This window comes from Homo sapiens, chromosome 2 (genome assembly GCF_000001405.40).
Source record: "Homo sapiens chromosome 2, GRCh38.p14 Primary Assembly".
Lineage (NCBI taxonomy): Eukaryota > Metazoa > Chordata > Mammalia > Primates > Hominidae > Homo > Homo sapiens.
This window is the reverse complement of record NC_000002.12, coordinates 44,669,712-44,683,018: the sequence shown is the minus strand read 5'-3', so window position 1 is coordinate 44,683,018 and position 13,307 is coordinate 44,669,712. Positions and strand designations below refer to the sequence as shown.

The 13,307-nt window shown below is 39.8% G+C and overlaps 1 protein-coding gene across 9 annotated transcripts in view, besides 1 other annotated feature; it reads right to left on the bottom strand.

The window, feature by feature from the left end:
- The window catches only part of CAMKMT (calmodulin-lysine N-methyltransferase), a 410,646-nt gene that overhangs the window by 89,574 nt on the left and 307,765 nt on the right, over window positions 1–13,307 (bottom strand). The window lies entirely within an intron of this gene.
- Window positions 2,002–2,550: an enhancer, noted in NCBI's record as "OCT4-NANOG hESC enhancer chr2:44907608-44908156 (GRCh37/hg19 assembly coordinates)". NCBI's record gives its function as "activates a minimal SCP1, AML or CMV promoter by ChIP-STARR-seq in naive and primed H9 embryonic stem cells {active_cell/tissue: H9 hESC(naive and primed)}" and the evidence as "EXISTENCE:reporter gene assay evidence [ECO:0000049][PMID:30033119]".

The following is a 13,307-nucleotide window of genomic DNA, read 5'->3' as shown; positions in this document are numbered from 1 at the left end:
CCTTGCTTTATATAATTGGGCTTCTGTTTGTTTTCAGGAAATTTATCATCTACACGGTCATTAGTCTTACTTATTCAGATGTCTACATGTAATTTGTCTTGCAATTAAGAGTTTGTAGCAGATTCCAACAATTCTTTTGATTACCAGCATTCCAATCATAATAAAAGAGTAATTTTATTTTACATTGTTGTGTCTAGGGAGGGAGAATCATGTAATATATACAATTTTCACATACAACAGTGTTGAGAAATGTAATTTTCTGCGTATTCTCTTCTAAGAATATTTTCAACGTTTCTCGATTGTCTCTGCACTCAGGAACAGGATTGAAATCTCCACTTTGGTATTTATCTGAGGCTGTGATAGCTCGGTCGTCTGCCGCCAAATGCCAAGATAGGGGGAATCTCATCATCCAGAGACCAGCTGCATGATGGGCAGTTAATAGATATATCAAACCTTAGGATATATGCTAAGCTGAAGAGATGATTGGTTGGTTGATACACTGATTGATTAGCATAGGGAGAATGGGTTTCTTCTTGACAACCTAAGATTATGCTTCAGCTAAGCTCAAATTGCTTACACCTCTTCTATTGGGTTTAAAATTACAGTCCTGTCATCTAAAATCTCTCTTCAATGAAATTTTTACCATATATAAAAATTAAAGGGAAAAAGAAAGTAGGAGCACTGGATAAGAGTAAATGGAGTAGATACATTTCATGCTACTGTTGTTGATTCCACTAGGAAAAGTTGATATGTAAATCCCCTTGAAAAATGTTACACATTTCATAAACGATTACTGAATATTATACAATAATTCAGGGGAAAAAGTTCAGTGTATTTGTCAGTGAACACATATTTTCAAATACATTACAGTTAGATCTCTTCTATGTAAAAAAGGGAATTAAAGGGAAGCCCTCTATTAATCAGGTTTACACTCTAAGGCACATCGACCCCATCTTTGGACTTTTAATATTTTTAACTGCTGGCATGCCTTTCAGGGGCAGAGAAAAAAGGGCAGACTTATCGAGACCGAGGATTAGCTTTGTATTTGAAGCTGCTTAACACAAGTAGTAACTTCTTTAATTAGCAGTAACGATTCTAAAGACAGTCACATGTATATCTTGAAATATTTTAATATTGTGTCCGTTTCCCACGTATGCAGAATCAGATATGCTTTAAAATGAAACAAAAACCAGATGAATGAAGGAAACATAACCCTGTTCTATCAAACTCTAAACTGATATTTAAGTGGTATTAAATAAAATCATCAAGACTTTGCACAAAGGGCCAACATTTAGGGCTCTGCAAACATCTGATCATCTTAGTTTACAACAAATACATTAAACATAAGCTTGGTTTATGATGTCCTGTTTAAAGATTCGATCTCATTGTACTCCAAATTATCAGAGACTGGCTAAAGAAAGGACCTTGCTCTTGCTTCTTCTTCCCCATTCCCCTCCCCCTCCAAAAAAAAAAAAAAAGCTGGTAAGAGCTTTAATTCAGCACTTTAAGAACACCCCCTCCTCTGCCTGAGCAAATAAGGATTTGGTTGCCGAATCACACTGGATAAGTGGTTCATTGAGAATGTTAAAATCTGCATTAATAAATAGGACTGGGCTTCTCGGCTTTTCCCCCTTCCTATCAGCTATGAGCGGTAGGGGATCAGCTGCGACTAAAATCCCCAGCTGAACAACCCACATACAACTCAGTGAGCAGACTTAAAACAAGGCCATTTATTGGTGACTGTTATGCAAACAAAGCGTCCAAGTCTTAGAAACAGATGTCAACTGAAGCATATGCTTACTGTAAACTGGAATTTGATTCTCTTTATAAAAATAGACATAAATGGGCCTTCAGAAAGTAGCCTGCCTCTTGTTGTCTACCACTGCCTAACTTGATTCAGCCTAAAGCTTTTAAAGAGATGAATAGACTGATATGTGAGGGCAAAAGAATAAGAGTTTAAAAAAAATTAAATTGGAAATAAATGATAACATGTTGGAGCAGTTCCCAGAAGCAATTTTACAGATTTTTCTCTAAAAACACAAGACAAGAAGTTAAAGGCTTAGCGCAGGTCACCCATGGCATGTCGAGTTATCATTTCCTACCACTTAGGGTGGAAAAGAAACTGCACATTCGGGTGGCAAGTTTAGTGGCGCATACTTTTTACCCTCCTCTCTCTTTCTTTCTCTCTCCCTTACCTCTTCTCACATCTTGATGTCTTTTAAATGTCACTTATTTTACATGAGGCAGTTGGTGGAGACATGAGTCAACAGCAATCAGAACCATTATCCCCTGCAGCGAGTCCTGGTCTTAATGCATTGTGACACCTTTGCTGGCCAGCCACCGATTTACCTTTCTGCTTCTTAGGGAATTAAGTGGCATCATGTGAAAATGGTTGTGATATGAACAGCATGGGCATAACTGGTATTAAATTTACCTCTCAGCCTAAGTGAATTTTCCTCACATGTGACGAATCAAAATGAAAGCCTGTGGACCCAGGCTGAGCTGGCCGGCACTTCCCCACCCCTGGGACCAGGGCTATTTTGTTTTATCTCTTTGTACAAGCTGGCAGAAGTTTAAAGTGAAGGGGATAATCCAGTGCTGGTGTCCTTATGAAATAACATCCTTACATGAAGAGGCTTTTAACTGTCTGTCGCTGTCCTCTCAAAAAAAGAGTGTGACAATCTCATTTTGCTGAGCACACTCCCATGAAAAGGGAAAATAATAGCCATGGCTGCCATGGCTAGCACTGACCTTACATGATCTATTATCCACTAAACACTTTAAAAGTCAGTTTTGCATACACTGCAGGAGGAAATGAGGGAACTACCACAATCATTTTCACTTTAGTGAATTTGCCATCTATTTGAAGTCCGTCACTTGATATCCCAACACATCCAGCCAGTGTCACAGTATCATGAAAAAGAAAACACCGCTGATTAAAAGATGCCAAGCACAGACACACTGGCACCCTGCTATTTCAGACATTTGCTAGGAGTAATGGCAGCCGTGGAATGGCTTGGTGTGAACTTTCTTCAAACTTAAACATAAGAAAAAGAACAATCAAAGATGAAGTCCTTCAAATTTTTAGAAGTGCTTGACATTCCTTCAAAAATATGTTTTACTAACCACTTAGCGGAGATCAGTAGGTGCCAAAGGAAGTGCAGGCAGAGCAATTATCATCCTGCACAGTCAGCCTGATGCTTATTCACAGACAAGAGTGGCTTGCATTCTGCCATGAACCAACTGTGCATGTTGCTGATAATAGAGCAGAGGTATTGCTAAATTGGTACTGAAATAGCACACCTCGTTTACTTCCAGCAACTTATTTGTGGAAGGCAATGAAGGCTGGAATATTTTCTCATAACTATAAGAATACTCAACTCATTGTTAACGTTAAAATTAGTTTTCTGACATGGCGCAGGCTATGCATTTACTTTTCCTTAAATAGGAACTTCCGTGCCAAGGGTATAACATTAATGGCATTTCTTTCCCCTCGTGGAGAATGCACTGCTTCATTAATAAACCATCTAGAAGCCTGACTAGTAATCAAATTCTTGGTCACTTTACAGTTCTCCACTCAGAAGTTCAAAGACTGTTTCCCTTCATTTTGGTAATGCATTTATTCTTGAACCCTTCACTCGGAGGCAAGTAATCAGAGTGGAAAAAAATGAGGGCAGAGATCCCTGAGAGGATGGCTGCAGTCCAATATCAAATATAATAGTTGTCAAGTTTTGAGCCACATTTATAAAATTTAATATCACTATATTGAGGTTTTGGGCAGGGACAAAAGAGAATAGGCAAATAAATGGTCACAATATTCCTCAAGCATTGATTCACCCACAGGCCCCAAAACACTGGAGTTTGACTTTCTGAGTTAATACTTCCACCCTGAACTCCATGACCCAACTCTAACCATCAGCTTAGAGGAAACCAGGATGGTTTATTCAAAAGAGTTTTGGGAATTCGATTCATAAGAGTAGAAAGAGGATTTTGTTAAGGTTCTTTTGGGACCAAATCAACTTAACAACCAGTCTGCTATTGGGTTCCTGGGGATTTTCAACTCAATGTAGAGAGAAGAGAACCAAATTTCTCAATTAGAATGGGAGAAAAATAGGATTTGGGCCAAGATAGATAATTATGAATAAAGAAAAGTGAGTAGCAGAGTCTGCCATTTTCACAAAACAGGTACATGGAATACCAGGGGCTCCCACTTTCAGGACTCATAAGAGACAGACTGAGAAAAGATGAGAAGGAAGGCTATCAGGAGAAAAGAACACTCAGAAGACAATATACAAACATTCACAATTACAGTCTTACTCATGAGATAAAAATACAAGCACAAAACATAACATGGCTTCTGAACTACTAAGTTATCCATTGAGTAGTATTGTCCGTTTTTTGCTGAGTAAAACCTGCTGTAGGAAAAAAAATATGAATATCAAGCAATTGGTCTTTAGAATTTGATTATGCACTTCAGGAATGAGGCAGGAGTAATGAATTCAGCCCAAGTGTTTGGAGAGATTGGCCATTTTAGATATGCCTGAACCATTAGCTTGAAGCTGGAGTGTGTACCAAGGGTGGTCATGCTGTTCACTGATGAGTAAGCAGCCTCATGATCTCAGGTAGGCTCAGCAGCAATCTCAGTGAATACACAGTCACATTTAGAGAAGTACAGACATGGCTAGACCTGGATGTCTAACACAAGATGAAGAACTAGCACCATCCCCATTTCACTACCTATTTACTTAACATTTCAAAATGTTAATGGAAAGAATTAATCTGAAGTGCACCATCACAAGTCTACTTTTTTCACGCATTTAAAAAATTTTTTTCCAAGCTACTCATAAAGATTGTTTGGGGTTTTGTTGGTGTTTTTGTTGCTAATGGGTTTTCGGAAACGCAGCAACCCAGCTAGGTAAGGAACACAGTTAGTTTAGGATTCATACATGGAATTCCTTTTTTTTTTCTTATTGAAAAAACTGTATTGTAAAGAGTTATTTCCCATTGTAAAATTTTCATAGTACAGAAAAGTTTGTCAGTTCTCTCTTCTTTATACATCCTCTAATTGTACTCCTTAGTGACACCATTAACTGGGTGTTATGCATGAGTCCAGCTGTGAAATACACATACACATTGACTCTCACACACACTTGTGTTTTATGCCAGACATTTTACACACACACACACACCCCAAGAGCAAGGAGATTGGAATGGAGTACACCAGGTGCGGGCAATAAGGAGGTGCATTGTTATAAGAGAATTGTAAAAAATAACACAACCTTCTAAAAGTAAATACGCTTTTTTTTTTTTTAGACGGAGTCTCAATTCTGTTGCCCAGTCTGGAGTGCAGTGGTGCCATCTCGGCTCACTGCAACATCCACCTCCCTGGTTCAAGTGATTCTCCTGCCTCAGCCTCCTGAGTAGCTGGGATTACAGGTGCCCGCCACCATGCCCAGCTAATTTTTGTATTTTTAGTAGAGATAGGGTTTTGCCATATACATGGAATTCCTATCTCCAATGTGGCTGGATGTGGCCTGGCTACTCTGGACAGCTCTCCTGAGTACAGACTGCTGATGAGGAAGTTGGGATTTAATTGCTTGCATGCCCTTACTCCACAAACTGAATGCAATCTTCTACCCAGATATCCCTTCTGCTGAAATATGCACAAGTTTGCCTATGTTCTTGCAAAATAATACAAGGGACAGGGAAGAGATGTTTGGTGACTCCTCTTATCCCTGTTAAAACTCCTGGCACACTCAAAGTTAGGAATAAGCTCATGCTGCCTCTCCATTAATCCCTCCGACTGCTCTTAATCATGAAAATGCTATTCCACTGACTTTATAGCAGTCCTTTAAAAAATGAGGTTGGGCTCAATAAATTTTGTAGGTCACAATTGTTTATAAAACAATATTGATAAAGCAGTTCAGGAGATGAAAATCCCCTTCAGGATTGTTGAAACACAAATGTAAAGGGTCAGCACAGTCACTGTCCTCAGACAGGTATAAAGAATCAAGGGCACTGTAAAATAAAACATAATGCTAAAATACAGTGGTTTGTTTCCTGCAGAGAATTCTGAGAGAGAGAAAAAAAATCCTTATGAGGGAAGAAGGCTAGTGAATTAGAAGCAGGAAGACAGAATTTTTTAAAAAAGAAGAAAAAATAACCATTTACTTAGCATCTACTAAATGCTGGGCATTGTGCTGAACTATTCATAAATACTATTTCATTTAAGGATCAACATACCTTGCTCATTAGGTTCTCTCTCTCAGATGAGGAAGCTGAGGCTCAGTGAGGTCAGGTGACTAGCCAAACACCTTCCGTCCTCTCCATGCCAGTGAGTGGCTGGGCTGGGACTTAAGCCCAACCCAAGCTCTTAGACCCACCAGACTGTAGGACCCCTTCTGCAGGCACAGCAAGGCTGGAATGGGCATGAAGATGATTAGGGAGACCCAACTGACAAGACTGACTTTAGGATTTACGGAATTTGGGAGATGTGGAGAAAGAGGCTTAAGGATGACTCAGAGGTTTAGGGTCCAGATGACTGGGAAATTTGTGGTGCCATTAACAACAATAGGAGTGTGAGAAAGTCAAGCCTGTTTTGAGGATCAGATGATAACGCATTTGGGTTTTATACATAGTGAATTGAAAGCAATATGGGAATATTCTGGTTGGATCTACTGGAAATATGGAACTAGATTCAGTACCAAGGATAAATTTGGGATATACATTTAAGAAACACCCACATGGATGGAGATTAAAATTAAAAATATGGGAGTAGATCAGCAAAGAGAGGGAAGAGAGAGAGAGCGAGAGAGGGAAAGAGGAAATAAGACTAAGGATAGAATTTAGAAGAATGCTTCCCCAGAGGGAAAAGCTGTGCAACCTCAATGAGTTTACTGCACTAGTCTGAGCCACAGTTTCACCATTTATATGCGGATGATTGAAAGTTGGGTGGATAAACAAAATATGGTATGTATATGCAATGGAATATTATTTGGCCTTAAAAACGAAAGAAATTCTGGCACATGTTACAACATGGATGAACCTTGGGGGACATCATGCTAAGTAAAACAAGCTAGCCACAAAAAGAAAAATACTGTACAATTTTACTTATTTGCGGTACCCAGAGTGGTCAAATTCACAAAGAAAGAAAGTAGAATGATGGTTGCCAAGGGCTGGGGGAGGGGAGAATGGAGAGCTATTGTTTAATGGTGACAGAGTTTCAGTTTGGGAAAATGAAAAGAGCTCTGGAAATTGATGGTGGTAATGTTTGCACAATGATGTGAATATAATTAATACCACTGAACTGTACACTTAAAATGATGCAAATGGTAAATTTTACATTATGTGTATTTTACCACAATTAAAAATAAATAATTTTTAAAATGGAGATAAGAATATCTATATCCTAGGGTTGATGTGACAATAAAAGACGTTTGAAAACTTGGCACAACATCTGACAAATAATTTGTCTTGTATGTCAATAAATATTAGTTTCTTTTCCTCTCTTACCAGAAAGGAAGAAGGAAAAGAAAGAAGGAGAACAGGGAGGGTGAGGAGAGTAATAAGAGAAGGAAGAAGAAAACCAGAAGGTAAGAATGTCATGGAAGTCATAAAAGCCCCTTTAATAGTTCTACCAAAGGGGCAGGTCAACCATGTGAAAGATTGCAGAGATGAAGAAAATAAAGATTCCGGAATCTGACAATTAAGAATTATTTATAGCTTTTGAAAGAGCCTCATTAGAGTGCTGAAACCAGGAGAAGTGTTTAAGGGAATAAAAAGCAATCAGCCATCAAGTTGAGGAGGCAAGGAACACAGATTCCTTTTCCAAGAGGTTAGGGGATACAGAGGAGAAAGATGGGAGAGAATTAAGGGAATGTAGAGTAAGGGAAGATTCTCCTACTATCATTTGCTGGCTTGCCTTTTTTTTTTTCCCCCCCTTAAGGTTGGTAAATCCCGAGCATGTTTGCAAACAGAAAAGAAGAAATTCGTGGAGAGTGAGAGGTAAAAGATGCAATAGAGAGAAGGATCAAGACCACAGGGAGAGGATTTAGCTTAAGAAAGGAGGGAGTCACACCTTTTTCAGGGTGGGAGACAGGAGGAGAAGATTGATAGTTTGTGTGTTTTTTTTTTCCTTGTGGGGAAGAAATCATTACATGCCAAGAATGTGAGGCTATTAGCAGGGTAGAGAAACAACAAAGCTGTATAATCAACTCTTAATTATCAGCATTTTGGTTTATCAGCTTCAAATCTTGCTTGCAAGCAAGTTAGCACTTACTCAGCTTAATTACTTGCTTTGTTAGCATTTCAAACTCAATGTAATATAACTTTGTATGTGGCCTGCAGCCCAGCAGGGTAGCATTTTGACACCTGAACACTTAACCACTTCCGTTATTCTGGGAAAAGATTTACAGTAGGGCACTTTGGTTGAGGTTGGGGGCTTCGCAGCAGTCTGAGAGACAAGCAGTTAAGCTTTCCAGGTGTTACTGAGTGTTTTCATTGTGTGGAGGCATTACTTTGTTTGCAGTGATTTCTCAGATCAGATACATGTTTTTCTTCATTTATTTAACATTTTTCGAACCCCAGCTATGTGCCAGAGACTGTGCTCTAGCTTTTGGATACTAAGATGGTCCCTGCAGTCAAGATGCTGATAGTCTAGTGGAGGAGACAGATGGGTTAACAGATTGTTACAATACAAAGGGGCAAGTTTATAATATCAAAATACAAATGCAAATAACCAAGTATAAATCACAGGGGTTTGCATACCCTTTTGGATTATCAACCTTTCCTTCTTACATCATTCAAACAATAATGAGTTGACTATATTCTAGTTGACTCTTACATATAGCATGATGAAGTAATGAGGTATCCTGATAAATCCAGGACAGGAACGTCAAATTTAGTGAGACCTGTCAGACAATAAGTGATTCCACACAGACTTTCATTACAGGGGAAATTAAGCAAACTTCTTTTTTTCTTTAGGTAATTTTGAAGGTTTTGGTGCATGAAAATAGCAAACATGATTCAAACTTTTCTTCAGCAAGAAGGAGATTTGCTATGAAGAGCAGTTACTGGGCTAAACTGGTATGAAGTGAGGTGTCTGGAGCTCTGAGGGCTGGGTGTCCTAAAAGACTGTTCCATTATGCTCGGCTGTTTGTTCCCACCCTGAAGAAGTATTTAATCTTTCCCAAATTCTTTGTAACTTATGCTGTCACTTTCTCACATCAGTGTTGAAATCTTCACTTCTCTTTCCAGTCATCTCCCTTCTTTGTCCTGCAGTCTTCATATTTTCTTCTTCCCCCTTTCCTTAACGCTTATTTTGCTTGGCTCCTTTATTTGTCATTTTCCCATGTTTCTAGGTTTTGCAGCAAGTGCCTTGGTTTAGATAGCTACCGCCACCAAATGAGAACCCCTCTTTGCCTTTTGATAAGCAAGCTGGTCACACTCATCAGGGATGATGTTTAGGTTTTTGGGTGTATAGATTTCTTCCTTCCCTCCTTCCTTCCTTCCTTCCTTCCTTCCTTCCTTCCTTCCTTCCTTCCTTCCTCTCTCTCTTTCTTTCTCTTTCTCTCTCTCTTTTTTTTTTTTTTTAAACAGGGTCTCATTCTGTCCCCCAGGCTGGAGTGCAGTGGCGTGCAATCATGGCTTACTGCAGCCTTGACCTCTGAAGCTCAAATGATCCTCCCACCTCAGCCTCCCAAGTAGCTGGACCCACAGGTACATGCCACCATACCCTGCTGACTTTTTGAAATTTTTGTAGAGATGGGGTCTCCTTGTATTGACCAGGGTGATTGCAAACTCCTGGCCTCCAGCAATCCTCCCATCTCAGCCTCCCAAAATGCTGGGATTACAGGCATGAGCCACGTCGCCCAGCCTATGTTTTTAAAACCACTCATTGCCCCAAAGTTTCTTCCTTTGCCCGTAGTGCCAATTAAAAAAATCAAACAAAATCATATATATGGAGGAATTCTGTCATTTACCAAGAAATACACAATTAAGATCATTACTCCCTATTTCAGTGCTATTCCAGTGTCTAAAGTTGTTGTAAGAGAAAATTACAGATAACCAAGGCATTGACTTATTTTGATTAGTAGTTATGAAATGTCTGTTTATTAGAACTGCTACCTAGAAAAATATAGCTAAAAATAGAATTCATCTAACCCTCAAACTAATATAAAACACTGTTATTGCTTAGGCTTTTTTTTTGGATGATTAATAAGGTACTTGTACATCTTACAGTACTTCAGGGTAGTTGGTATTTATCTCAGCTAAGACAAAACTAGAAATGTACAAAAGTGCCTGGTACCCAGAGCTTGGTTGATATCTGGTAAATAAGCAACTATGAGTTTCTGAAACTGGGAAGCAGACACAAAGCTCTTTATACTCCCGGGGCATAGTCTCTGGCTGTGTCATGGTGTTCCCTTTGAATGAATAGGTGCTCTGCTCATGTAGAAAGAGACTGAATTGGAGAAGGTCCCTAAATGCAACTAAAAAGGAGCAGTGGCCTAATGGTACAAATAGTTGGGGTACAAATGGTCTTGTTCTGCAAAAGTAAATTCAAGAGGGGCTCAGCAAATGTCAAATGAAGAGCAGCTGAAAAAAAAACCCACAAAATTATTTACTATTTTAGCCACGAAAACTAGAAAAGTGGCATTTCAAATTGAAATTGTAAAAAGCTCTGCCCACTCCACTTGTGAGCCGCATTCAGTTTGGGCAGGTTGTTCTGAGAGTGGAATGCACTCTTCCCGAGTAAGTATGTATTGCTGCCATTCACCAGACCTCCTTGCTAGTCTGCATGCGGCTATCTCCCCATTATACATCCAAAGAGTAATCAGGGTGAAAAGGACAGTCAGTGTAAGAGGAAATAATTGCAGCTTAAACTACTCTTACTCATTAAGAAGCAAGACTATTTGGGGAGTGAGGCGGATGGGGAGGGTCAGGGAGAATGGTATTGAGTTTTCATCATCCTGTCGGGGCAGGTCAAGTTTTAGCTCTAGCAATTTTGGCATGATTTTCTATAATCGCATTACAGTTAAAAGTATATTAATCACAGTAACTACCACCATCCTATGGTGAGAGTAATACTTGCAGGAAGGGCAGGAAAAGAATCTGAAGTGTGTCCTAGGGTCTGCTTCTGTGTGTTTGGTGGGAACTGCCCTTTGTCTTGGAGAAATGTGGTTGAGAATCGGTTTTCAAAAAATCATGAAAATACAATGCCCTCTTTTAGCCAGAAACAAAGAGAAATATATGATAAAAAAGAAATGGAGAAGATTAAAAGGGCTTGGGGAGTTGAAATTTTAAAAGGCCCAAACCAGCTGACAATACTTCACACCAAAAAAATCCCTGAAAATTCAAATAAGGCATGAGATGTCTCTAAATCAGTGGTTCTCAACCAGAGGAGGTTTTTGCCCTCAAAGGACATTTGGGGTGGCCACACGGGGTGAGGGTGGAGAGCCACTGGCATGGTGAGTGGAGGCCACTGCTGCTGTTGAACACCCTCAGTGCACCGGGCAGGCCCAGACAACAAACAGTCATCTGCCCAGAAGGCCAACAGTGTCACTGCTGGGAAACCTGGCTCTAAATAAATTACAAGGAAGGCTTAAATATTGTAATTTAATTTTTGCAGTGTATTCCTGTTACCCATCTGAGGCTTTATTATTAAGATGTTTGAGGTTGTTATTCATGTCCCAGAAAAATACATGGGTATCACAAATAGGACTGGGGATTTAGGGGACTAACTGATGACAGGAAAGGATGCAGATCTGAAGTGCAATTTTGAAGGAAAAAAGGGGGTAGGATTTTGGGGAAGGAGACTAGGTACTGGAGCATGGAAGGACAATGAGTTTGATTCATGACTTAACGTTGTATCAGAATAACTTCAGCACACTTATACTCCTAAAGGAGACTACAAAGTCAGCTAATCAATAATACTAGGCCATTCTAAAAGCTACCTGTTAACTTTGAACAAAAAGGCAGCATTTATTAATATTGCAAGCATTCCTTAGGCAACTAGCTATCTGTACCCAGGATTGAGAAGGCCTGGTAAAAAGTCAATTAAGGTGACCCAGGGCCCAAAAATTGATAGGTCAAGAGCAGAAGAGGTGGATTATATTTTAGGCAATAGAGTGTAATCTCTAAGGAACCATGGAGAGAGGATTGGCGAAAGATGTTCAGAAGACAGACCTGGCTGAGGCAGCGTTTCTTAAAGTGTGGTTCCTGGATCAGCAGCATAACCTAGGGACTTTCTAGAAATGCAAATTTTAAGGCTCCATCCCAGACCTACCGAATCAGAAACTCTGGAGGTGGGGTCCAGCAATCTGTGTTTTTAAATTTTTATTATTTATTTATTTATTTTTTAGAGACAGGGTCTCACTGACACCCAGGCTGCAGTGCAGTGGCATTATCGTAGCATGATCATAGCTCTCTGCAGCCTTTAACACTGGGGCTCAACTGATCCTCCCACCTCAGCCTCCTGAGTGGCTAGGACCATAGGTATGCACCAGCATGCCCAACTAATTTTTATTGTTATTTTTAGAGAGAAGATCTCGCTCTGCTGCCCAGTCTGGAGTGCAGTGGTGCAATCACTGCACTCCAGTGATTTTTTTAGAGATGGGGTCTCCCTATGTTGACCAGGCTGGTCTTGAACTCCTGGTGTCAAGTGATCCTCCTGCCTCAGCCTCCAAAAGTATTGAGATTATAGGTGGAGCCACCACACCCAGCCCAGTCTGTGTTTTAATGAGCTCTCCAGGAACCACATGGAATAGTTTGTGTAAGTGAAAATCATCACATATAAGCAATTTCTTATAGTTCAAGAAATTTCTGTTCATTAAGGCACCATAACAACAGTAAACAGACAAGCTAAAAACTGGGAGAAGATAATTGTAACACATAACTGATCAAGGATTAGTATTCAGAATATATAAGACATTCTTACAAATCAATAAGGGAAAGACAATTAACCCAGTAGAAAAATGGGCCAAAAATACAAATAGGCATTTCACAAGAGAGAAAACATGAAAGCCTATAATCATTGAAAAGTAGCTGATTAGTAAATAGGGAAATACAGATTAAAACCATAATGAGCCAGGCACAGGGACTCACACCTGTAATCCTGGCACTTTGGGAGGCTGAGGTGAGCAGATCACTTGAGCCCAGGAGTTCGAGACCAGCCTGGGCAACATGGTGAAACTTCGTCTCTACAAAAAATACAAAAATTAGCCAGATGTGGTGGCACACACCTGTAGTCCCAGCTACTTGGAAGGCTGAGGTGGGAGGATCACCTAAGCCCAGGAGGCTGAGGCTGCAGT